General features: G+C 43.3%; 1 long non-coding RNA gene across 11 annotated transcripts in view, besides 2 other annotated features; it reads right to left on the reverse strand.

Annotated features, from left to right (window-relative positions):
* Positions 1-21,531, reverse strand: part of LINC03046 (long intergenic non-protein coding RNA 3046) — a 28,166-nt gene extending 6,635 nt beyond the window's left edge. For 5 of the 11 annotated variants that reach the window (NR_186554.1, NR_186551.1, NR_186549.1 and 2 more), the window contains exon 1: positions 21,142-21,531. This is a non-coding gene — a long non-coding RNA (long intergenic non-protein coding RNA 3046). Of the gene's footprint in view, positions 1-4,255; positions 4,306-21,105 lie in introns of all 11 variants that reach the window. The other 6 variants (NR_186555.1, NR_186553.1, NR_186547.1 and 3 more) reach the window with 2 other exon arrangements.
* Positions 14,635-15,354: an enhancer, noted in NCBI's record as "H3K4me1 hESC enhancer chr10:103483003-103483722 (GRCh37/hg19 assembly coordinates)". NCBI's record gives its function as "activates a minimal SCP1, AML or CMV promoter by ChIP-STARR-seq in naive H9 embryonic stem cells {active_cell/tissue: H9 hESC(naive)}" and the evidence as "EXISTENCE:reporter gene assay evidence [ECO:0000049][PMID:30033119]".
* Positions 21,195-21,694: an enhancer, noted in NCBI's record as "H3K27ac hESC enhancer chr10:103489563-103490062 (GRCh37/hg19 assembly coordinates)". NCBI's record gives its function as "activates a minimal SCP1, AML or CMV promoter by ChIP-STARR-seq in naive H9 embryonic stem cells {active_cell/tissue: H9 hESC(naive)}" and the evidence as "EXISTENCE:reporter gene assay evidence [ECO:0000049][PMID:30033119]".

The raw sequence follows: 23,272 nt of genomic DNA on the forward strand, positions 1-23,272 counted from the left end.
TACTAACATAGGCAGCACTTACAAAGTGACCTTTATATCTTTATCTCACACTACAAATACATTTTGAATGTATTTTATTCGGCATACACCAAAGACTCCATGGATCAAAGCCTCTTTGATTTGTAATTGGTTTGTGTGTCCACCTGTTGGGCTTAAATGATAGTGTTTTACAGGATTTCTGTTGTTCAGTTTTAGTAAATCTTGATTTGTTTAGCATCCCTTTTTAAATGTATCTTCCACAGTCAAAACATTTGTCTAACCTAAATATTTAAAAAGCCATAGAATCTATAACTAAATAATGAAAGAAAGATCATACAACAAATCTCACAATTCCTAGTCTATGGAATTATTGTAAGGGGTATCTCTGAAATGCCCCCACAACATTCACACTCAGCATTTTCTCAGTCTCTTTCAAAAACCAAATTCAGTTCCTTGCTTCTTCCAAGAAGTCCTCCTGACTTCAGTCTCCAATCAGAGACAGGCGGAAACATAGGTACAGATAGCTGTTCTTGTGTGAATAAACCTCTTCCTCCTTGGTTTCTTCCTTTAAAACATTAAGTCCAAAAGAGGAACAAAACATATATGTGGATAGGTGGCAAAAACATCAAGTTGAGCGACATAAGCAAAATACATTCAGAGCAATATATACAAAAATATTTAACACAAAACAATATTGTAATTCTTTAAGGATATGTATATGTGTGTATATATATATATATATATATATATATATATATATATATATATATACGTAGAAGTACAAAAAATAGAACAGAATTATGCACCTCAAACTCATGGTAGTGGCTGCCTCTGGAAAGGAAGCAGGCAAATGAGATTTAGGGTAGTAGTAAAAGGGAATTTTAGCTACCTCTGTAATGTTTATTTTTTTAAAAAAGAAAAAAAGCCATTAAGCTAAGATGACTCACTTAGGCATAGTTAGGGGATGTGAAGTGTCATTGAAATTCTTGTCTAAAAAACACAGCAGAAGTTTGAGATCTCGTCTTTGTCCTCATAAACTGTTCTTTCACGTAATGTATAGTTTTTTTGTGTGTCAGACACTAGTTATGTCTCGCTTTCTTGAAACAACAGTAAAACCTGTTTCAAATCGATTGAATAATTCAGAATAGTTGTTACCTCCTCTTTGCCCACAATAACCTTCTTTCTAAATTAATATACTGTGATGATGGGACTTTATCTTTGTGTGTGTTCTATGAAGAAAGGGACACGCTATGAGTCCTTGGTAAAATGAATAAATAGATGAATAAATAAATAAGCCCTGTTTGCTGGCCACCCTGCATGCAACAGTTTGTGGGCGATTTCATTTCAAGAGGTTGCCTATTTGACTTCTTTGCTTTCAGGAACTTGTCGAGAACAATCATTTTTTATCTGTCTTCCCCTTGGGGTCCCGTAAGGTCACTAGACATAAGATAGCTGTGAAATTTGACATTGTTCCAATTTAAATGCTTTACTCCAGCAAGTGCAAGACTGCGGGCGCTTCGGTGCGGGGCTTGCCACGGCCAGGCCGTTCTGAGACTCGCCAGCTCTCCAGGCTTCAAAGCCTGCCATCCTTGATCTCGCTAAAGAATGTTTTTGAATTCTATGTCCATCTAGTGGTTGCCTGCAAAGATCTACTTGGCTTTTTCTTTCTTCCTTTTCTTTCACACTTGATCAGTGAGATTCTGTTTGTGATGGGGGTTTGCCCCCCTTGGTCTTTAATTCTTTCACAGGTGGTTTCAAAGTGTCTATCCTCCGCCACTACTTTCTATAAACAAGCAGGAATTTGGGAACTGCAGTTACTGATGGCTTTCCTCACAGGGCCATTCTCCTCTCACTTTGAAAATAGACTGTTTTGTGGACAGTAAAGTACAGTTCTTTTTCACAGATGAGATTAGAGGCTTGAGGGGAGGCTGAAGGGAGGGGAGTGTTTTCTTTCCCTTTTTTCTTTTTCTCTGTTTTTTTTTTTTTTTTTTTTTACCAGAGAGCCTTTGTGTTGTAACTAATTTTACCAAATACAAGAACTTTATTTATTTTACACTCAGTTGCACCTTTGGTTAAGGATGACATGGCACCAAGTAGAAGTAGCTGGGAATTTGCTGATTTCCTCATTAATTGTCTCCAGCATCCCAAGTGTAAGGGTAAGAGTTGAAGATCAAGTGATGACAGGAACGAATGTGATTGCGTATCCAAGGGATCAAATTATATCAATTCTAGCTACGAATTCTGATCTGCCATGGGGGTTGAGATATCTATTTTATCACCTCCTGTCCCTCTGTGGGTTGAAAAATCTCTCTCCAGGTCTCAGTTTCTATGACTTGAGGTTTTAGAAGGAATGAGATTCAATCCCTTATCTGTAGCAGTGGTTGGTCTTTTCAGTTCTCCTATGGATCCTGAAAGTTGGGGAGCTGACAGATTTATACTGCTCTGAATTCTGTGAGGGAAAAAATAATAGATGGAAGGCAAGTGTTATCACTTAGTTCTAACACATAAACAGTGTAAAGGCATTATGTGTGTCTTGGACAACCTTGGCCACTTGAAAGATGGGGACACACGCTGAATTAAACCTAAAGTCATGGCCTTTGTTCCAGTTCAAATTAAAACAAATATTTTTAAATATTTACAAATATTTTTTCTCTCTATAAATGTAACACACTTTATTCAGATCAATGTAAAAAATACAAATGGTGTCCATGCAGCATTATTTATAATAGCATAAAACGCAAACAGCCTAAATGCCCATCAGCAGGAAACTGGCTAAATAAACGACAATGTATTTATCTATGGAATAACATGTAATAATTTAAAAGAATATAATAATTAAAAAGAGAGCACAAAAGCTGGGTGCAGTGGCTCATGCCTATAATCCCAGCACTTTGGGAGGCTGAGGCGGGCGGATCACCTGAGGTCAGGAGTTCGAGACTAACCTGGCCAACATGGTGAAACCTCGTCTCTACTAAGAATACAAAAATCAGCTGGGCGTGGTGGCAGCCGCCTGTAATCGCAGCTACTCAGGAGGCTGAGGCAGGAGAATCACTTGAACCTGGGAGGCGGAGGTTGTAGTGAGATGAGATCATGCCATTGCACTCCAGGCTGCGCAACAGAGCGAGACTCTGTCTCAAAAAAAAAAAAAAAAAAAAAGAGAGAACACAAAAGTGGAAAATAATGACATGAAAACATGTCTAAGAAATAGCGTTGAGGCCGGGCACGGTGGCTCATGCCTGTAACCTCAGCACTTTGGGAGGCCTGGGTGGGCAGATTGCTTGAGCCCAGGAGTTTGAGACCAGCCTGGCCAACATGGTGAAACCCTGTCTCTATAAAAAAAATACAAAAATTAGCCTGGCATGGTGGCATGCACCTGTAGTCCCAGCTACTAGGGAGGCTGAGTCAGAAGGATCACTTGAGCCCTGAAGTGGAGGTTACACTGAGCCAAGATCACACCACTGCACTCCAGCCTAGGTGACACAGTGAGACCCTGTCTCAAAAAAAAAAAAAAAAAAAAAAAAGAAAGAGAGAAAAAATAAATAGCGTTGAGAGAAACAAAAAGTTGAAAATAATATTACTAAAATGATATGTACAAATGAATCATATAATTTTCGTGGGTTCAGATATATATATATGCAGGGATATACAGGATTGAGGGAAGTATTTAAGAGGACTTTAATTTTATCAGTAATGTTTTATTTTTTTATAAGGCAAATGTATTTATGTAATTCTCATGTAATGTAATTAAAACATACTTTTTTTTTTTTTTTTTGAGACAGGGTCTCGCTCTGTAAGGCTGGAGCGCAGTGGTGCAATCATGGCTCACTTGCAGCCTCGACATCCCTGGGCCCAGGTGAAACTCCAAACTCAGCCTCTTGAGTAGCTGGGATTACAGGCACACACCACCACACCTGGCTAATTTTTTATTTTTTGTAGAGACAAGATTTCACCATATTGCCCAGACTGGTCTCAAACTCCTGAGCTCAAGCAGTCTGCCTACCGTGGCCTCCCAAAGTGCTGGGATTACAGGCGTGAGCCACCGTGCCCTGCCAAAACACAATTTTTAAAAGATTTTAAAAACCAACACACAGAAGATAAGTAAAAAGAAAAAAAAACTACTATCCAGCCTCCCATATAGTCTTTTGTATATATACTTTATTTATTTGGCAAGTAAAAATTATAATATTTATGGTGTACAACATGTCTTAATTGCTGTATTCATTGCAGAAGGGCTAAATCAAGCTACTTAACAGGTGTTATCACCTTACATACTTACCATTTTTTGGTGGGTGGCACAACCTCCTGAGGAGCTGGGACTACAGCCACCTGCCAGTAATTTTCAAGTATACAATATATTGTTATTAACTATAATCACCATGATGTATGATAGATTTCTTGAACTTATTTCTCCTGTCAAACTGAAATTTTGTGTCCTTTGACCAACATCTCCCCAATCACCCCAACCCCTGCCTCTGGAAGCTACCATTTTACTCTCTGTTTCAGAGTTCATGGAGACTCCACATATAGGTAAGACCATGTGTTATTTGTCTTTCTGTGCCTGGCTTATTTCACTTAACATAGTGCCATCCAGGTTCATCCATGTTGCTGTAAATGATGGGATTTCCTTCTTTTTTAAGGCTGAATAGTATTCCATTGTGTATATATGCCACGTTTTCTTTATCCATTTATCCTTTGATGGACACTTTGGTTGATTCCATATCTTGGCTATTGTGAATAGTGCTTCAGTGAACAGGGCAGGGGCGGGAAGGGGGTGCAGATATCTCTTCAACATGCTGATTTTATATCCTTGGATGTATACCCAGTAGTGGGGTTGCTAGATATATGGTAGTTTCAAATTTTTTTTTTTTTTTGAGACAGAGTTTTTGCTCTTCTTGCCCAGGCTGGAGTGCAATGGTGTGATCTTGGCTCACCGCAACCTCTGCCTCCCGGGTTCAAGCGATTCTCCTGCCTCAGCCTCCCGAGTAGCTGGGATTACAGATGAGTGTTATCACACCGGGCTAATTTTTGTATTTTTAGTACAGACAGGGTTTCTCCACGTTGATCAGGCTGGTCTCGAACTCCCGACCTCAGGTGATCCTCCTGCCTTGGCCTCCCAAAGTACTGGGATTACAACTACTGCACCCGGCTGGTAGTTCCAATTTTAATTCTGAGGAGGAGCCTCCATACTGTTTTCCATAATGGTTGTACTAATTTACATTCCCACCAACAGTGTACAAAGATTCCCTTTTCTACATCCTCACCAACAATTATCTTTCATTTTCTTATAATGGCCATTCTGACTGGTGTGAGGTGGTATCTCATTGTGGTTTCAATTTGCATTTCCCTGATGATTAGTGATGTTGAACATTTTTTCATATACCTGTTGGCCATTTGTATGTCTTCTGTTGAGAAATGTCTATTGGGGCTTATTTTCCCATTTTTGAATCAAGTTATTTGTTTTCTTACTATTGAGTTATTTGAATTCCTTTATATTTTATTTATTTGTTTAAATTGTTTAATTTTTTTTTTAGAGACAGGGTTGCCCAGGCTGGAATGCAGTGGCATGATCATGGCTTACTATAGCCTCAAACTCCTGGGCTCAAGCAATCTTTCTACCTTGGCCTCTCAAAGTGCTGGGATTACAGCCATGAGCCACTACACCTGGCCAAATTCCTTATATGTTTTGGATATTAACCCTTTATCAGAAGTGTGGCTTGCAAATACAGTCTTTCATCACTCTGGTGATTGTTTTCTTTGCTGTGCAGAAGCTTTTTAGTCTCATGTAATCCAATTTGTCCATTTTTGCTTTCGTTGCCCGTGCTTTTGGGGTCATATCCAAAAAAATCACTGCTCGGACCCATGTCACAGAGCTTTTCCCATTTTTTTCTAGTAGTTTTACAGTTTCCAGTCTTATGTTTAAGTCTTCTATCCATTTTGAGTTAATTTTTGTATAGGGTGTGAGATGAGGGTCTAATTACATCCTTCTGCATATGGATATTCAGTTTTCCCACCACCATTTATTTGAAAAGACTGCCCTTTCCCAATTGTGTGGTTCTTAGCATTTTTGTCAAAAATCAACTGAACCGGGTGCAGTGGCCCGTGCCTGTAATCCCAACACTTTGGGAGGCCAAGGCAGGAACACTTGAGCCCAGGAGTTCGGGACTAGCCTGGACAACATAGCGAGACCTCATCTGTATAAAAATAAGTAAGTAAATAAATAAATAAAAATCAATTCACCGTAAATGTATAGAATTCTTTCTGGGCTCTCTATTCTGTTCCATTGGTCTATGTGTCTGTGTCTGTTTTGTTTGTTTGTTTTGTTTTGTTTTGTTTTAAAACAGGGTCTCACTCTTTTGATCAGGCTGGAGTGCAGTGGCGAAATCATGGCTCACTGTAGCCTCAACCTCCCAGGCATAAGTGATCCTCCCATTTCAGCTTCCCAAGTAGCTGGGTCCACAGGCATGTGACACCATGCCTGGCTAATTTTTATTTTATTTTATTTTATTTTATTTTATTTTATTTTATTTTATTTTATTTTATCTTATCTTATCTTATCTTATCTTATTTATTTTGGTAGAGACAAGGTCTCCCTATGTTGCCCAGGCTGGTCTCGAACTCCTGGCCTCAAGCAATCCTTCTGCTTCAGCCTCCCAAATTGTTGGGATTCCAGATGTGAGCCACCCCACCCAGCTGATTACTATAGCTTTTCAGTAGATTTTGAAATCTGGTAGGGTGGTGCCTCCAGCTTTGTTCTTTTTGCTCAAGATTGCTTTAGTTATTCAGGGTCTTTTGTGGTTCCATATGAATTTCGGGATTGTTCTATTTCTGTAAAAAATGTCATTGGAATATTGATAGGGATTACATTGAATCTGTAGATCACTTGGGTAGTATGGACTTTTTTTTTTTGAGATGGAGTCTTGCTCTGTTGCCAGGATGGAGTGCAGTGGCGCAATCTCGGCTCACTGCAACCTCTGCCTGCCAGGTTTAAGCAATTTTCCTGCCTCAGGCTCCTGAGTAGCTGGGACTACAGGCACGTGCCACCATGCCCAACTAACTTTTTGTATTTTTAGTAGAGACAGGGTTTCTCCACGCTGGCCAGGCTGGTCTCGAACTCCTGACTTCGTGATCTGCCCGCCTCGGCCTCCAAAAGTGCTGTGATTACAGGCGTGAGCCACCACACCTGGCCCCAAAATGGACATTTTAACAACATTAATTCTTCTAATCTGTGAACACAGGATATCTTTCCATTTACTCGTGTCTTCTTCAATTTCTTTTTTTTGAGACAGAGTCTTGCTCTGTCGTCCAGGCTGGAGTGCAGTGGTGCGATCTCGGCTCACTGCAACCTCTGCCTCCTGGGCTCAAGCAATTCTCCCCTCCCGAGCAGCTGGGATTACAGGTGCACATCACCATGCCTGGCTGATTTTTGTATTTTTAGTAGAGACAGGGTTTCGCCATGTTGGGCAGGATGGTCTTGAACTCCTGACCTCAAGTGATCCGCCCTCCTCGGCCTCCCAATGTGCTGGGATTACAGGCATGAGCCACTGTGCCCAGCCACCTTCTTCAATTTCTTTCATTAATGTTTTATAGTCTTCAGTGTACTACATTAAATTTAAAATGTACTATAAAAATTAAGGAATGGCGTGGTGGCTCATGCCTGTAATCCCAACACTTTAGGAAGCCAGACCCAGTGGAGACCAGGAGTTCAAGACCAGCCTGGGCAACATAGCTAAACCCCGTCTTTATAGAAAATACAAAAATTAGCTGGGTGTGGTGGCATGCACCTGTAGTCCCAGATATTCGAGTGACTGAGATGGGAGGATCACTTGAGCCCAGGAGGTCAAGGCTGCAGTGGGCCATGATTGTGCCACTGCACTCCAGCCTGGGAGACCCTGTCTCAACAACAACAAAAATTAATTTTTTTTATTGTGGTAAAATATACATAACATAAAATTTACCCTTCTCACCATTTGTAAGTATACAGCTCAGTAGCATTAAATACATCCACATTGTTAGTATGACCATCACTAATATCTATCTCCAGGACTTTTTCATCCTCCCGGATAGAAGTTCTATACACAGTAAACAATGACTCCCTATTCCACCCCACACCCCCCAATCCCTGGTAACCACTGTTCTACTTTCTGTATCTATGTATTTGACTATTTTAGACACCTCATTTAAGTGAAATCATACAATGTTTGTCTTTTTGTGTTTGGCTTATTTTACTTAGCATAATGTCTTCAAGGTTCATCCATGTTGTAGCATGTATCTGATCAATCCCTTTAAAGGCTAAACAATACCCCATTGTATGTATTTAGCACATTTTGTTTATCCATTCATCTGTTAATGGACATTCAGGTTTTTCCACCTTTTGCCTACTGTGAAGTATGCTGCTATGAATATTGGCGTACAAACAGCTGTTTGAGTCCCTGCTTTCAGTTCTTTTGTGTACATACTCGGAAGTGGAATTGCTGAATCATATGGTAATTATATGTTTAATTTTCTGAGAAACCACCATACGGTTTTCCACAGCAGAGGCACCATTTTACATTTCCACCAGCATTATACAAGGGTTTCTATTTCTCCGTATCCATGCCAACACGCTGTTTTCCTGTTTTGTTTTGAGACAGGGTCTCACTCACCCAGGCTGGAGTGCAGTGGCATGATCACGGCTCACTGCAGCCTCAACTTCCTGGGCTCAAACGATCCTCCCACCACAGCCTCCTGTAGCTGGGACTACAGGTGCACACCACCACACCTGGCTAATTTTTTGAATTTTTTGTAGAGATGTGTTTTTGCCATGTTGCCCAAGCTGGTCTCACCGGCCTCAGCCTCCCAAAGTGCTAGGATTACAGATGTGAGTCACAAACCAAGCCCTGTGTTTTTTTGTTTTTTGTTTTTGAGACAAGGTATCGCTCTATTGCCAAGGCTGGAGTGCAGTGGTGCAATATATGTCTCACTGTAGCATCGGCCTCCTGGGCTCAAGTGATCCTCCTGCCTCAGCCTCCCATGTAGCTGGGACCACTGGCACACACCACCACACCTGGCTAATGTTTGTGTTTTTTGTAGAGATGAGGTCTCACTTTGTTGCCCAGGCTAGTCTCAAACTCCTGAGCTCAAGTTCTCCTCCTGCCTTGGCCTTCCAAAGTGCTGGGATTACAGGTGTGAGCCCCCTGCCCACATGTTTTGTTTTTATAATAATGTATGTGAAGTGGTTATATACTTTTAAAAATTAAACAATGAGGCTGGGCACAGTGGCTCACGCCTGTAATCCCAGCACTTGGGGAGGCCAAGGCTGGTGGATCACCTGAGGTCAGGAGTTCGAGACCAGCCTGGCCAATATGGTGAAACTTAGTGTCTACTAAAAATACAAAAATTAGCCAGGTCATGGTGGCGCATGCTTGTAATCCCAGCTACACGGGATGCTGAGGAGGGAGAATCACTCAAACCCGGGAGGCGGAGGTTGCAGTGAGCTGAGATTGTGCCGCTGCACTCCAGCCTGGGTAACAGAGCAAGACCCTGTCTCAAAATAAATAAATAAATAAATAAATAAACAAACAATGGCCTAAACTGTGACTAACGTAATGTTAACATTTTTCTGCATCATTAAGTGTTCTTCAGGGCTGGGCGCGGTGGCTTTAGCCTGTGATCCCAGCACTTTGGGAAGCTGAGGCGGGGGATCACCTGAGGTCAGGAGTTTGAGACCAGCCTGACCAACATGGAGAAACCTCATCTCTACTAAAAATACAAAAATTAGCCGGCCATGGTGGTGCACGCCTGTAATCCCAGCTACTCAAGAGGCTGAGGCAGGAGAATCGCTTGAACCGGGGAGGCAGAGGTTGCAGTGAGCTGAGATGGCGCCATTGCACTCCAACCTGGGCAAAAATAGCGAAATTCTGTCTCAAAACAAAAAAAAAATGTTCTTCAACAATGTCATTTTATTGGCTGTGCAGCATTCCACTGGATAAGATGTACCATAACTTACTCAACCAATTCCCTATTATTAGAAACTTAGGTGTTTCCAAATGTTTGGCATTATAAGAGTGCTGCATATTCACATTTTAGACTTTGCTTTACATTTGCTTATAAATTCCTAACAGTGATATTGCTGCGTCATCGCACATAAACTTTTTTAAAGTTTTGAAATCAATGTCCATTTTAAAATGAAGTTTAAAAGAGGGATGGGAGGACAGAAGGAATTGCTACTGCTGTTACATGCTTAACACCCAAGCAAACATCTATTGAATCAGCTGAGAAATTCCCACACACAATGTAAAGAGTGAGCATTGTCTGTTAGTCCTCCAACAATTTGTCTTTCACCATTGACCTACATTGAAACCTTCAGCTTAGGAAAAGAATGTAGGAGCCTCTTAATGGAAGGCTAGATTCAGTGGTACTTGGGGTGCTAAAATAGTCTGTGTGTGAGTACTTTCATCTCTGCAGTTCACTACTGGATCCAGGACCAATCTAAATCCTTCTTACTTTGTCCACTACTGAAATATGATGCTATCTCTGTGCTGGAAGTTGCAGAAGTATTTAAGAGTACCCAAGAATAACACAATTGAGAAAATAAACTGAAAAATAAGTTCAATAGGAGGAAACATCCCAGAATAAATGACAGGGTAGTAGCTTTCTCCTTTTGGAACTAATATTTTTTTTTTTTTGAGACGGAGTCTCCCTCTGTCACCCGGGCTGGAGTATAGTGGTGCGATCTCGGCTCAATGCAACCTCTGTCTCCCGGGTTCAAGTGATTCTCCCGCCTCAGCCTCCCAAGTAGCTGGGACTACAGGCATGCACTGGGACTACAGGAGTGCGCCACCACACCCCGCTAATTTTTGTATCTTTAGTGAAGACGGGGTTTTGCCATTTTGGCAAGGCTGGTCTCAAACTCCTGACCTCAAATGATCCACCAGCCTCCACCTCTGCCTCCCAGAGTGCTGGGATTTCAGGTGTGAGCCACCATGCCCGGCCCAGAACTAATTATTAATTGGTATAGCTTATGCCCTGACAAAGCCTTAGACCTGGGAATCCTGAACAAACTTCAGTTATGTCCTTCTATTACTCAGAAAGCTTGAGCCACCCAAGGGCTTCCTGGTCAATCCAAACCGTCTTGCCTAGCACTCAGTATTCTGGTTTCCCCTGACCTCTCTGCATCCTGACTGCCCCAGCATGAAGCCTTCCATTCCATCCAAACTGACCTATTTCCTTTTTGCCAAACAAGCAGCATATATTCTGGAAAAATCTTTGGACTTGGAGTTAGACTATGTGGATTTGAACCCTGGGTCTGCCATTGCTTTATTAGGACCCTGGGGAAAATACTGAATCTTGCTGAGCTTCGGTTTCTTCATTTGTAAAATAGGGATAACAAAGCCTAATTTGTTGTACTATTATGTATATGTTAAACTGGACAACAGAATGTAAAAGAAGCTAGCACAATGTCAGATATATACTGAGTGTTTGATAGGTAACACAAAGGTCTTGTTTGGCCTCTGAACTTTGCTCCAAACTGTTCTCTTTCTGGAAAAGTCTTCTTTTATCTGAATCCTGCCCATCCATCAAAGCAGATATGTTTTATCCCTCTTGAAAGCCTTCCCACACCAGTCCTAAGCACTCCCTGGCTATTCCGTTGATTTGGCATTGGTCAGTACTACCTAGTATTGGTTATACTTTTTTACAGTGTATTTTTCTTCTCCAAGTGACCTGTCAAGGAGCCAAACTTTCTACTATCTATTTTTTTTTTTAAAGACGGATTCTCGCACTGTCACGCGGGCTGGAGTGCAATGGCAGATCTTGGCTGACTACAACCTCCAACTCCCGGATTCAAACGATTCCCTGCCTCAGCCTCCCAAGTGCCTGGGATGACAGGCACGCGCCACCATGACCGGCTAATTTTTTGTATTTTTAGTAGAGACGGGGTTTCACTATGTTGGCCAGGCTGGTCTCGAACTCCTGACCTCGTGATCCGCCCGCCTCAGCCTCCCAAAGTGGTAGGATTACAGGCGTGAGCCACCGCTCCCGGCTAACTATCTACTATCTACTATTTCTTCCCCCAACCCCACTTTTCCACCTCCGTATCAAGAATGTTTCCCACATAGGAAATGCTAAGTATTTATGTATTTATTTATTTTTGAGACGGAGTCTCACTCTATTGCTCAGGCTTGAGTGCAGTGGTGTGATCTCAGCTCACTGCAATCTGCCTCCCAGATTCAAGGGATTCTCCTGCCTCAGGCTCCCAAGTAGCTGAGATTACAGAAGCACACCACCACACCTGGCTTGTTTTTGTATTTTTAGTAGAGACAGGGTTTCACCATGTTGGCCAGGCTAGTCTCAGACTCCTGACCTCAAGTGATCTGCCTGCCTCGGCCTCCCAAATTGCTGGGATTACTGGCGTGAGCCACTGTGCGGGCCCTAAGTATTTATGCTGACCCTTTTCACTTTCCCTGTGCTTCATGACCTGCCTGTGTCAGTAGGTCCATAAGGCTTGCATCAGTCCTTCTAAGTGGACTCTCTCCTGAGGCAGTTTTCAGAGAGCCCTGATATCAGTTTGTCCCAACAATAATTAAAATGAATGCACAGCACCTCCTAGCTTACAACAGTAGCCTGTAAAGTTAACAGAAAGGATATTATTATTCTCATCATCCCTATTTCTCGAAGACTAAGAAAGGTCAAGTGATTTGTCCAAGGACACAAGGCTAATGTACAGGAAAACTGGAAACTGAACTCAGATCTACTGCTTGCAAAGTTCATGCTCATGGCCTCACATCATAAAACCTCCTTCTGTATTTAACTGTTCATGAACATTTGTTAGTCTCTAAAGTAGTATTATGGTTGAATTTGAGGTCCTTGCCTAAGAAGAAAATGCCGGTGTTCTTGGGTATAGTAACCACCTAAAGAAACCTCTTCAGTGTTTTTGGAGGCATGAAAGGAACAAAAACAATATGCCAGTTCTTGGGGGAAACGCTCCAGGTGAGAAACTTGTGTAAATTATTTTCTTGGGGCCCAGAATGACACCTGGGCATTTGGTAAGAAGGTACCCTTTCCCCTACACCTTAATTAATTGTGACTCAGAGCAGATCTTTTAGAAATGGTTCCCCTGCTACACTTATTATCTCTTTGGTGACCTTCTGTCCCTACCCCTTAAGGCTCAGGGACTTCTCCTCCAAGCCGTGGCTCTGGCATGCCAGGAGGTGTCCCCCTGTGGTCACCATGAACTAGACTCCCTCCAGCAAAGGGCACAACTCTCACCACAGCTCAAGGGCATCTTGGAGTACAGCTGTACACAATCCAAAAGAATCACAGGTGATTCTGATTAGAAGAGATTCTGAGGGACATCCTATCACTACTCGGTTCTCTAGCACACCCGCATACCTCCCAGCTACACATTTCATCCTGACAGCTCAGCAGACATTCTTCAGACTTAGGGAAGGTGTGAATCCACAGATAGTTCACCTGCAATCCAAGGCAGAACCATGTCTCTCAGCTTCCTTGGTCACTGAGTAAGCAACACCCTTTTTGTACAGAGTATAGCTCTACCCTTTGTCTCATTAAAAACTATTAGAAGCCAGCCTGGCATGGTGGTTCAGGCTGCAATCCCAGCACTTTTTTGGGAGGCCAATGTGGGAGGAATGCATGAGGCCAGGAGTTGAAGGCCAGCCTGGGCAATATGGCGAGACCCTATCTCTAAAAAAAAATTATTTTCTTTTCTTTACTTTGTGTGTGTGTTTCATTTTTTGTTTTTGTTTTTGTTTTGAGGCAGGGTCTCGCTCTGTCACCCAAGCTGAAGTACAGTGGCATGATCACAGCTCTCTGTAATCTCAACCTCCTAGGCTAAAGCAATCCTCCCACCTTAGCTTCCTGAGTAGCTGGGACTACAGGCATGTGCCATCATACCCAGCTAATTTTTTATTTTTTTAGTGATGAGATCTTGCTATGTTGCCCAGGCTAGTCTTGAACCCCTGGGCTCAAGCAATCCTCCTGCCTTGCCCCACCAAAGAAGTGCTGGGATTACAGGCTGAGCCACCATGCCAGGCCAAAAGTGTCTTAAAAACAAACAAACAAACAACTCTTGGAAGCCAAATGAATCCTGACTTAGCTGTTACTGTAGATTCTGTTGATAACAGTTGCTTAAACTCAACTCTGTCCCCACCATCACACACTTGGATGCTAAGATCAAAGTTGCCTAGTTACTTCCAGATTCGTTCAATATGCATTTATTGAACACTACTTCCTAGGTAACTTGCCAGGCACTTGAGTAAAAGGGTGAATCTTCTCATTTTTTTCTCATCCCACAGAAAGTCCTACTTTCTCACAACCAATAAGCCTCATATCAACAGCAAACTCCAAGTTGCACAGAGACTATCACATTTGCAATCTTCTTGTTTTTCTGAAACAAGCATTGGCATAAACAGTAACAGCAATGACTTAGGCCATGCTCTTGCCTATAATCCTAGCACTTTGGGAGGCCAAGGCAGGAGGATTGCTTGAGCTCAGGAGTTTGGGACAAGCCTGGGCAACATAGTGAGACCCCCATCTCTATTTAAAAAAATAAAAATAAAAAACAAAAACCTTATTTATACTCTAATTATTCTGGGCCAAAAATGGGAGTTTGAACTCAATTCATATACTGTTTTTGTAGATTGTTACATGTAACCCTAGGTATCATATTTACCAGGTGTCTATTTCCCCATCTTTTTTTTTGAGACAGGGTTTGTCACCCAGGTTGGAGTGCAGTGGTGCAATCTCAGCTCACTGCAACATCTGCCTCCTGGACTTCAGCAATCCTCTCACCTCAGCCTCCTGAGTAACTGGGACCACAGTTACGCACCACCACACCCAGCTAATTTTGTATTTTTTTGTAGAGGTGAGGTGTCACCATGTTGCCCAGGCTGGTTTCAAACTCCTAGGCTCAAGCCATCTGCCCATTTCAGCCTCCTGAAGTGCTAGGATGACAGGCATGAGCCACCTCGCCCAGCGTGCCCACCTCATTTGGTGAAACACCCTCTCTCTCTCACTGTGCTATTGCTATTAATTTTCCCACACCCTCCATTCTGTCTCAAACACTAAGAGTTCAAACATCTCTTCTCCAGTGATCTTAACCTTGGACTTAGAATTTTCCCCTGTTTCTTAACAGTACCTCTCCTCCCTGGCTGTTCTTTAGCATAACATCAATTCAGTCAAATGAAATAAACAAACATTTACAGAGTGAAGGGGAGGGAAAGATGGGAAGGGGACAGCTGTGATTACTGACCCATCCTGCCCCAGCTTTCCCTCACTAGGAGTAGTTTTGGGTACAAACTCAGAATGGCAGTTAAGAAGAAAAAAGCCTTGTTTTTTATGCTTTCCTAAAGACCAGCAAGGAACAATTGGAATTTGAAATGTAAAAAAAATACCATTTACAATAGCACCAACAAAAATCAAAACAAAACAAAAACCACTTAGGCCCAAATCTAACAAAATAAATACAGGATCTATATGAGAAAAACTACATAACACTGGTGAAGAAAATCAGAGATCTAAATAAATGGAGAGAGAGTCCATGTTACAAGATCAATATACAAAAGCCAGTTTCTGTCATATACTAAATACCAGCAATGAACAATTGGGATTTGAATTTTATTTTATTTATTATTATTATTATTTTGAGACAGGGTCTTGCTCTGTCACCCAGGATGGAGTGCAGTGGCATGATCATAGCTCAATGCAGGCCCCACCTCCTGAGCTCAAACAATCCTCACCTCAGCCTCACAAGTAGCTAGGACTACAGGTGCATGCCACCATGCCTGGCTCATTGGGAAAAATTTTTTTTTTTTTTTATAGAGATGGGGTCTTGTTATGTTGCCCAGGCTGGTCTTGAACACCTGAGCTCAAGGGATTCCTCCTGTTTTGGCCTCCCAAAGTGGAATTAGAGGTGTGAGCCACTGTGCCTGGCTGGGATTTGAAATTTAAAAAAAAAAAGATAACATTTATAAGCCTTATTTCTTGGCGTCATGTGGTTCAAGTGAACACCTTAGCTTGGTGATTTGCAGTTTCAACTTGACTGTGCCCTTTAACCAGAAATCCTGGGGTTGTTGAGACCTTTCCATGTAGTAGCCCAGATCTCATCTTCAATTTTGAGTCAAAATGGATTTTTGAGCGGTCCTAATAGTCACTGGATTCCTCTGAGGTACTATTTGTTGACATTTTTTTTTCTCCAAGCCTCTTTCATTTAGGCAGCCAAATTTTCCTCAGAGACTTCCATTCCTCATTTTCAAACCTTCCTGCCTCTTTTGCTTCCAGCTGGTTCCTGAACTTCGGTCTGACATTTCCAACAGTACCTCCAGCCTACAGCAAGTGTCCTGCCTTTGTGGCCTGTTTCCCGGCCATTGTCTGGCTTCTCTGTTCTTCATTCCCCTTTATCTCTACTCCTTCCCTCCTCCTCCCCAGTGCACAGGTCAGGCATTCAAGGGTGGACGTATCATGGACAACTCTGATTTGAGTTGTTTTCTCTGAAACAAATATTTGCATATGTGACCCTCCCCCACCCCGCCATTTACCATATGGCTTTTCCTCCATCTCAGCCAGAGGAACTCTCAAATTCATATATGTTTTTGGAAATGAAGTTTTCCCCAGATGGTCTCTCCAAAGCACCAAAGCAAGGTCAGAGTTTGTGCATTCCTTCAAAGGTTCTGGGCAGGAGTTAGAATTACTCGTGTTTTCTTACTCCCATCAGCAGTTATTTTGTCAGTGCACCTGATAATGGGACAAAACCTGAGTCTTTCTTAGCTAAAAACACACCAGTGTTTGAGGGAGATGTTGAACCATAAACTGGTGTCCCCAGGGAAAGGAGAGAAACCTGCTCAGTTGCTCAAATAATTTCAAACCAAAGCCCCTGAGGATACTTCCACAGGGAGAGAAAAAGAGTATGAATATTAGAAAGATGATGAGCCAGGTGTGCTGAAAAGTTTTCTTAGTCATTCTTAACCCTAGAAGGGGATGGGGGCAGCCCCACATCTCTACTGGGAAACATACTTCCCCTTTTAAATCAGGAAAGAAGAAAACAACAACATAGCCCCAAATAGAGAATGTTTTCTTTTGTAACTGGAAGCAAACATTGCTGATGGCTTTAACAGCTGTCTGCCAACGTGGCCTGAGCAGCAGGCAAGCTCAAACATTTTCTGAGATCAACATATGTACAGACGTACAGTATATTAGGTCAAATTATAAATCCAGGAATAAAAGAACAAATAAGTTTCGGCTTTCTCTAGGCTTCTGCATCCAACACCAGCTAAATTAGCCTCTGAAGCAGAGGAATCTGGATTCCAAATAGGCAGGTCTTCCAAAAGTTCAAGTCAAACCTCCCTCTGGTAGGAAAAGAAGGTGCCGTTGTAGATTAACTTGCTGATGACTGACCAGGTCCGGGCTGCTGGGCCCAGCCTAGCCAAGGCTTCCCTGTGTCTTAGCCCAGCAGACTCTGAGGATCTGCGTGCGGCAGGTTAACGTTAAGCCTGCCATTGACTTGATCTTTGACCCCAGTAAATCATTTAATATGCAGTGTGCCTTTGTCCATATGTTAATGTTTTGTGTAATTCGGATGAGAATTCCAGCAAGTCTGGGTGTGCCACCCATTAGGACTAAAGCTTTCCCTTTGGAGCTTCTAGGAGGAACCTTCTGGATAGCTACATTGCAGAAAGCTGAAGTACCTCGATGAACCTAATTGAAATGCCTGCAGATGGTGAGACCAGCCTTGCCTGAACTGTGACTGAGAAGTAAAAGAATGAATTTTTTCCTTTGTTATCAAAACTGACACAAAACTTTTAGTTTTGCCTTAGGGCAAGAAACCCACCAGAATGTAATAGGCAGGAGAATACTGGCTTCCACCACTCTACTAGTTATGGGACCTTGAACAAGTCACATTGGCTAAGCTTCCATAGATGTTAGTGGGTCATGAAATCAATGAAATAGATTGGAACTAAAAAAAAAATTTTTTCGAGATGGAGTCTTGCTCTGTTGCCCAGGCTGGAGTGCAGCGGCTCAATCTCGGCTCACTGCAACCTCCACCTCCTGGGTTCAAGCGATTCTCCTGCCTCAGCCTTCCGGAAGCTGGGATTACAGATTCCTGCCACCAAGCCCGGCTAATTTTTGTATTTTTAGTAGGGACAGGGTTTCACCATGTTGGCCAGGCTGGTCCGAACTCCTGACCTTAGGTGATCTGCCCTCCTCAGCCTCCCAGAGTGCTGGGATTACAGGTGTGAGCCATGGCGCCAGGCTCTAAAAAATGTTTTAATAAAATAAATTGAGTAGAATAGAAAATACCAGGGCTTAGTCCACAGTAAGGGGAAGTACACGTGTGTATGTATGATTCCTGGGGTCATAATGAACAATAAACGTTCTACTATAGGTAACTAACAAAAAGTTTTCAAGCCAGTGGCTTAGCCCAGTGGTCCCCAACCTTTTTGGCACCAGGAACAGGTTTCACGGAAGACAGTTTTTCCTTGGATGGGGTGGAGGAGCCGGTTTTGGGATTAAACTGTTCCACCTCAGATCATTAGTTAGATTCTCATAAGGAGTGGGCAACCTAGATCCGTCACACGCACAGTTCACAATGGGGATCGCATTCCTACGAGAATCTAATGCCGCCACTGATCTGATGGGAGGTACACCTCAGGCAGTTATGCCTGATGTTCACCTCCTGCTGTGCAGCCAGGTTCCTAACAGGCCATGGACTGGTACCAGTCCATGGCCTAGGGGGTTGGGGACCCCTGGCTGAGACCATAGAGCTTCGATCTCCTAGTCTATTTGTTGGAAATAATTCATTTTATATGCATACATAGATATACATACATATACAAATACACACACATCTAATGAGCACCTACTCTGTGTCAGGCACAGTGAGGGGTGTGTGAGGTATACAGGCATGACAAGGCCCTGTCCCCGTGGAGCACTGGCTAGTCAGGGAGCCTATCATAAAATACTGGCATAATGATTTCACTGCCATTGTGATTAGGGCCACAAAGAGACTTACAAAGGGAGAAGAGAGTATGTCGCAGGGTTCCTGACCTGGGCTGCAAGACCAGGGCCAGCCTTCCTGAGGAACGGACATAGAAGGAGGCAGAGAGTGATGCAGGCAAAGAACTGGGGGCATCCCCGGCTGAAGAACCAGCAAGTCTGAGCAGACCCTGAAGAAGGAGTAACCTGTGCTGGGCCTGCCCCAAAGGCTTCTGTGAGGATGACCAAGGGAGGTGACAGCCAGCAGAAACACAGTTTCTGTAAACTGTAGAGTGTTATTCAAATGTGACCTATTATTTAAAACAATGAATATAAACATGCCTTAAAGGTGAGCTTAGCCGGTGGATGGCTCATGCCTGTAATCCCAGCACCTGGGGAGGCCGAAGAGGGTGTATCACCTGAAGTCAGGAGTTCGAGACCAGCCTGGCCAACATGGTGAAACCCCATCTCTACTAAAAGTACAAAAAAAAATTAGCCAGGCGTGGGGGTGGGCGCCTGTAGTTCTGGCTACTCGGGAGGCTGAGGTAGGAGAATCTCTTGAACCTGGGAGGCAGAGGTTGCAGTGAGCCGAGATCGCACCACTGCACTCCAGCCTGAGCGACAGAGTGAGACTGTCTCAAAAAAAAAAAAAAAAAAAAAAAAAAAAGGTGAGTTTAAGCATCCTTTCAATGACTCTTTGCCGGATTCTGTTCTAGGTTCTGGGAATACAGCAGTCAGTAAGACAGACCCTCTGTCCTCCATAAACACAGAGAATGGTGACTTCAGACAGCGGTAAATGCTATGGTGAAATAGAAAATTTGGCAGAGGAATAGAGAATAATGGAGGCAGGGAAGGTTCTAGACAGGAAGGCAGGGCTCTCTAAGGGGGTGAAAACCAGATCTGAACAAACTACCTGTCACCCTCTGACAATGTGACCTTGGATACATCACCTAATCTTTCAAGACTCTCCTTTCACCTCATCTCACAGGACTCACCTGAGAATTAAATGAGATAAGAAATGGAAGCCCTCCTAATACAGGTTAGCGTGAATAATGTTAAACAGTGAATATTTAATAAATGCTAAATAATCGAGTGCTTTAATCAAGAACGAAAGTCAGAAGTTTTTTTTAACAGTCCGGGTGCAGTGGCTCATGCTTGTAATCCCAGCACTTTGGGATATGCATACATAGATTTACATACATATACAAAGGAGGCTGAGGCAGGGGATCACCCGAGGTCGGGAGTTCGAGACCAGCCTGACCAACATGGAGAAACCTCATCTCTACTAAAAATACAAAAATTGGCAGGGCATGGTGGCGCATGCCTGTAATCCCAGCTACTCGGGAGGCTAAGGCAGGAGAATTGCTTGAACTCGGAAGGCAGAGGTCGAGGTGAGCCGAGATGGTGCCACTGCACTCCAGCCTGGGCAATAAGAGTGAAACTCCAACTCAAAAAAAAAAAAAAGAGAGAGAGAGAGAAAGATGTAGAATGACAAGAAGGAGAAATTAGGCCTTCTATTTTCAGACAGGCTGGACAAATCCTGCAGAAGGAGTCATTATTGAACTTTGTGTCAGTTGGGTCCTCTGGGCAGCAGATGCAGAGACAAAATAAGATTTTGGTGGTTGGGGGCAGTAACCCCTGTGAAAGACAAATGAGGAAGGAAGCAGAATTGGATAGGAAAAGCCTCAAACCATGATGTAGCATGTATCAGAATTTCCTTCCTTTTAAAGGCTGAATAATATTCCATTGTATGAATATATCCCATTTTATTTATCTATTCATCCATCGATGGACATGTGGGTCACTCTCACCTTCTGGCTATTGTAGATGATGCTGCTATGGTCATGGGTGTACAAATGGCTGCTTGTTACCCTGCTTCCAATTTGTTTGTGTATATACCCAGAAGTGGAATTGCTAGGTCACATGGTACCCATATGGCTATTTTTTATTTTTTGAGGGATAAATAAATAAAATACTATTTTCCATAGCATCTAATATATACCATGTTAAATTCCCACCAACAGTGCACAAGGGCTCCAATTCCTCCACATGCTCACCAACACTTGTTATTTTCTGGGTGTATTAGTGCCTTCTCACGCTGCTATAAAGAACTGCCCAAGACTGGGTAATTTATTAAGGAAAGAGGTTTAATTGACTTACAGTTCTGCAGGGCTGGGGAGGCCTCAGGAAACTTACAATCATGGTGAAAGGGGAAGCAAATATGTCCTTCTTCACATGGCAGCAGCAAGTAGAAGTCCTGAGCAAAGGGTTAAAGTCCCTTATATTAATAAAACCATCAGCCGGGCGTGGTGGCTCACGCATTTTGTAATCCCAGCACTTTGGGAGGCCGAGGCGGGTGGATCACGAGGTCAGGAGACACAGACCATCCTGGCTAACACAGTGAAACCCTGTCTCTACTAAAAATAAAATAAAATAAAATTAGCCGGGCGTAATGGCGGGCGCCTGTAGTCCCAGCTACTCAGGAGGCTGAGGCAGGAGAATGGCATGAACCCGGAAGACAGAGCTTGCAGTGAGCCGAGATTGCGCCACTGCACTCCAGTCTGGGCGACAGAGCGAGACTCCGTCTCAAAAAAAAAAAAAAAAAAACCATCAGATCTCGCGAGAACTCACTCACTATCACGAGAACAGCATGGGGGTAACCGCCCCCATGATTCAATTACCTCCCGCCGGGTCCCTCCCATGATACATGGAGATTATGAGAACTACAATTCAAGATTAAATTTGGATGGGGACATAGCCAAACCATATCACTGAGTTGTTTGTTTGCTTGTTTGTTTGTTAAATAGTAACCACTCTAGCCAGGCTGGCATGCAGTGGCACAATCATAGCTCACTGGGCTCAAGCAATCCACCCGTCTCAGCTTCCCAAGTAGCTGGTACTATAGGCATGTGCCTCCAGGCCCTGCTAATATATTCTTTGTAGACATGGGGTCTTGGTATGTTGCCCAGGCTGGTCTCAAACTTCTGGTCTCGTCCTTGTGCCTTGGCCTTTCAAGGTATTAAGATTACAGGTGTGAGCCACTGCGCTTGGCCTTGAGCATCTTTTTATGTGCTTACTGGCCACTTGAATATCTTCTTTGGAGAAATGTCTATTCAAGTCCTTTGCCCATTTTTTTTTTTTTTTTTTTTGAGACAGAGTGTCACTCTGTCACCCAGGCTGGAGTGCAATGGCACAATCTTGGCTCTCTGAAATCTCCGCCTCCTGGGTTAAAGTAATTCTTCTGTCTCAGCCTCCCGAGTAGCTGGGACTACAGGCGCGTGCCACCACACCCACTAATTTTTGTATTTTTAGTACAGATGGGGTTTCACCATATTGGCCAGGCTGGTCTCGAACTAATGACCTAGTGATCCACCCACCTCAGCCTCCCAAAGTGCTGGGATTACAGGTGTGAGCCACCATGCCCAGCCCCTTTGCCCTTTTTTTTTTTTTTTTTTTGAGACAGAGTCTCATTCTGTTGCCCAGGCTGGAGTGCAGTGGCGCAATCTCGGCTCACCACAACCTCTGCCTCCCGGGTTCAAGCAATTCTCCTGCCTCAGCCTCCAGAGTAGCTGGGATTACAGGCGCACGCCACCATACCCAGCTAATTTTTGTATTTTTAGTAGAGACGGGGTTTCACCATATTGGCCAGGATGGTCTCAAACTCCTGACCTTGTGATCTGCCCGCCCCAGCCTCCCAAAGTGCTAGGATTACAGGTGTGAGCCACCACGCCTGGCTTTGCTTTGCCCATTTTTAAATTGAATTGTTTGTCTTTTTGTTGTTGAGTTATCACCTCAGGTGATCCGTCCCCCTCAGCCTCCCAAATCACCTCAGGTGATCCACCCGCCTCAGCCTCCCAGAGTGCTGGGATTACAAGTTTGAGCCACTGGGCATGGGCATGTGTCCTCATTTTGTAGATGAATCTCAGAGGGGGCAAGTAACTTGACAGAGCTACTAAGTGGCAGAGCTGAGTTGGATGCCAGGCAGTAAGCTCTACAGCTTGAACTTTTAACCACCCCGCGAACCCCTTTTTCTTCCCCAGATCTTCTCTGGCACTTTTAGCCTTCTAAAAAGTCACATATTGGCCAGGTGTGGTGGCTCATGCCTATAGTCCCAGCACTTTGGAAGGACAAGGCACTTTGGACTTTTGAGCCCAGGAGTTCAAGACCAGCTTGACCAACATAGCAAGGCCCATTCTCTCCCAAAAAAAAAAAAAATTATTAGGGCTTGGTGGCACATGCACCTATAGTCCCAGCTACCCAGGAGGCTGAGGCAGGAGGATCACTTGAGCCTAGGAGTTTAGGCTGCAGTGAGCTATGATCATATCAC

The sequence above is a fragment of the Homo sapiens genome, chromosome 10, assembly GCF_000001405.40.
Source record: "Homo sapiens chromosome 10, GRCh38.p14 Primary Assembly".
Lineage (NCBI taxonomy): Eukaryota > Metazoa > Chordata > Mammalia > Primates > Hominidae > Homo > Homo sapiens.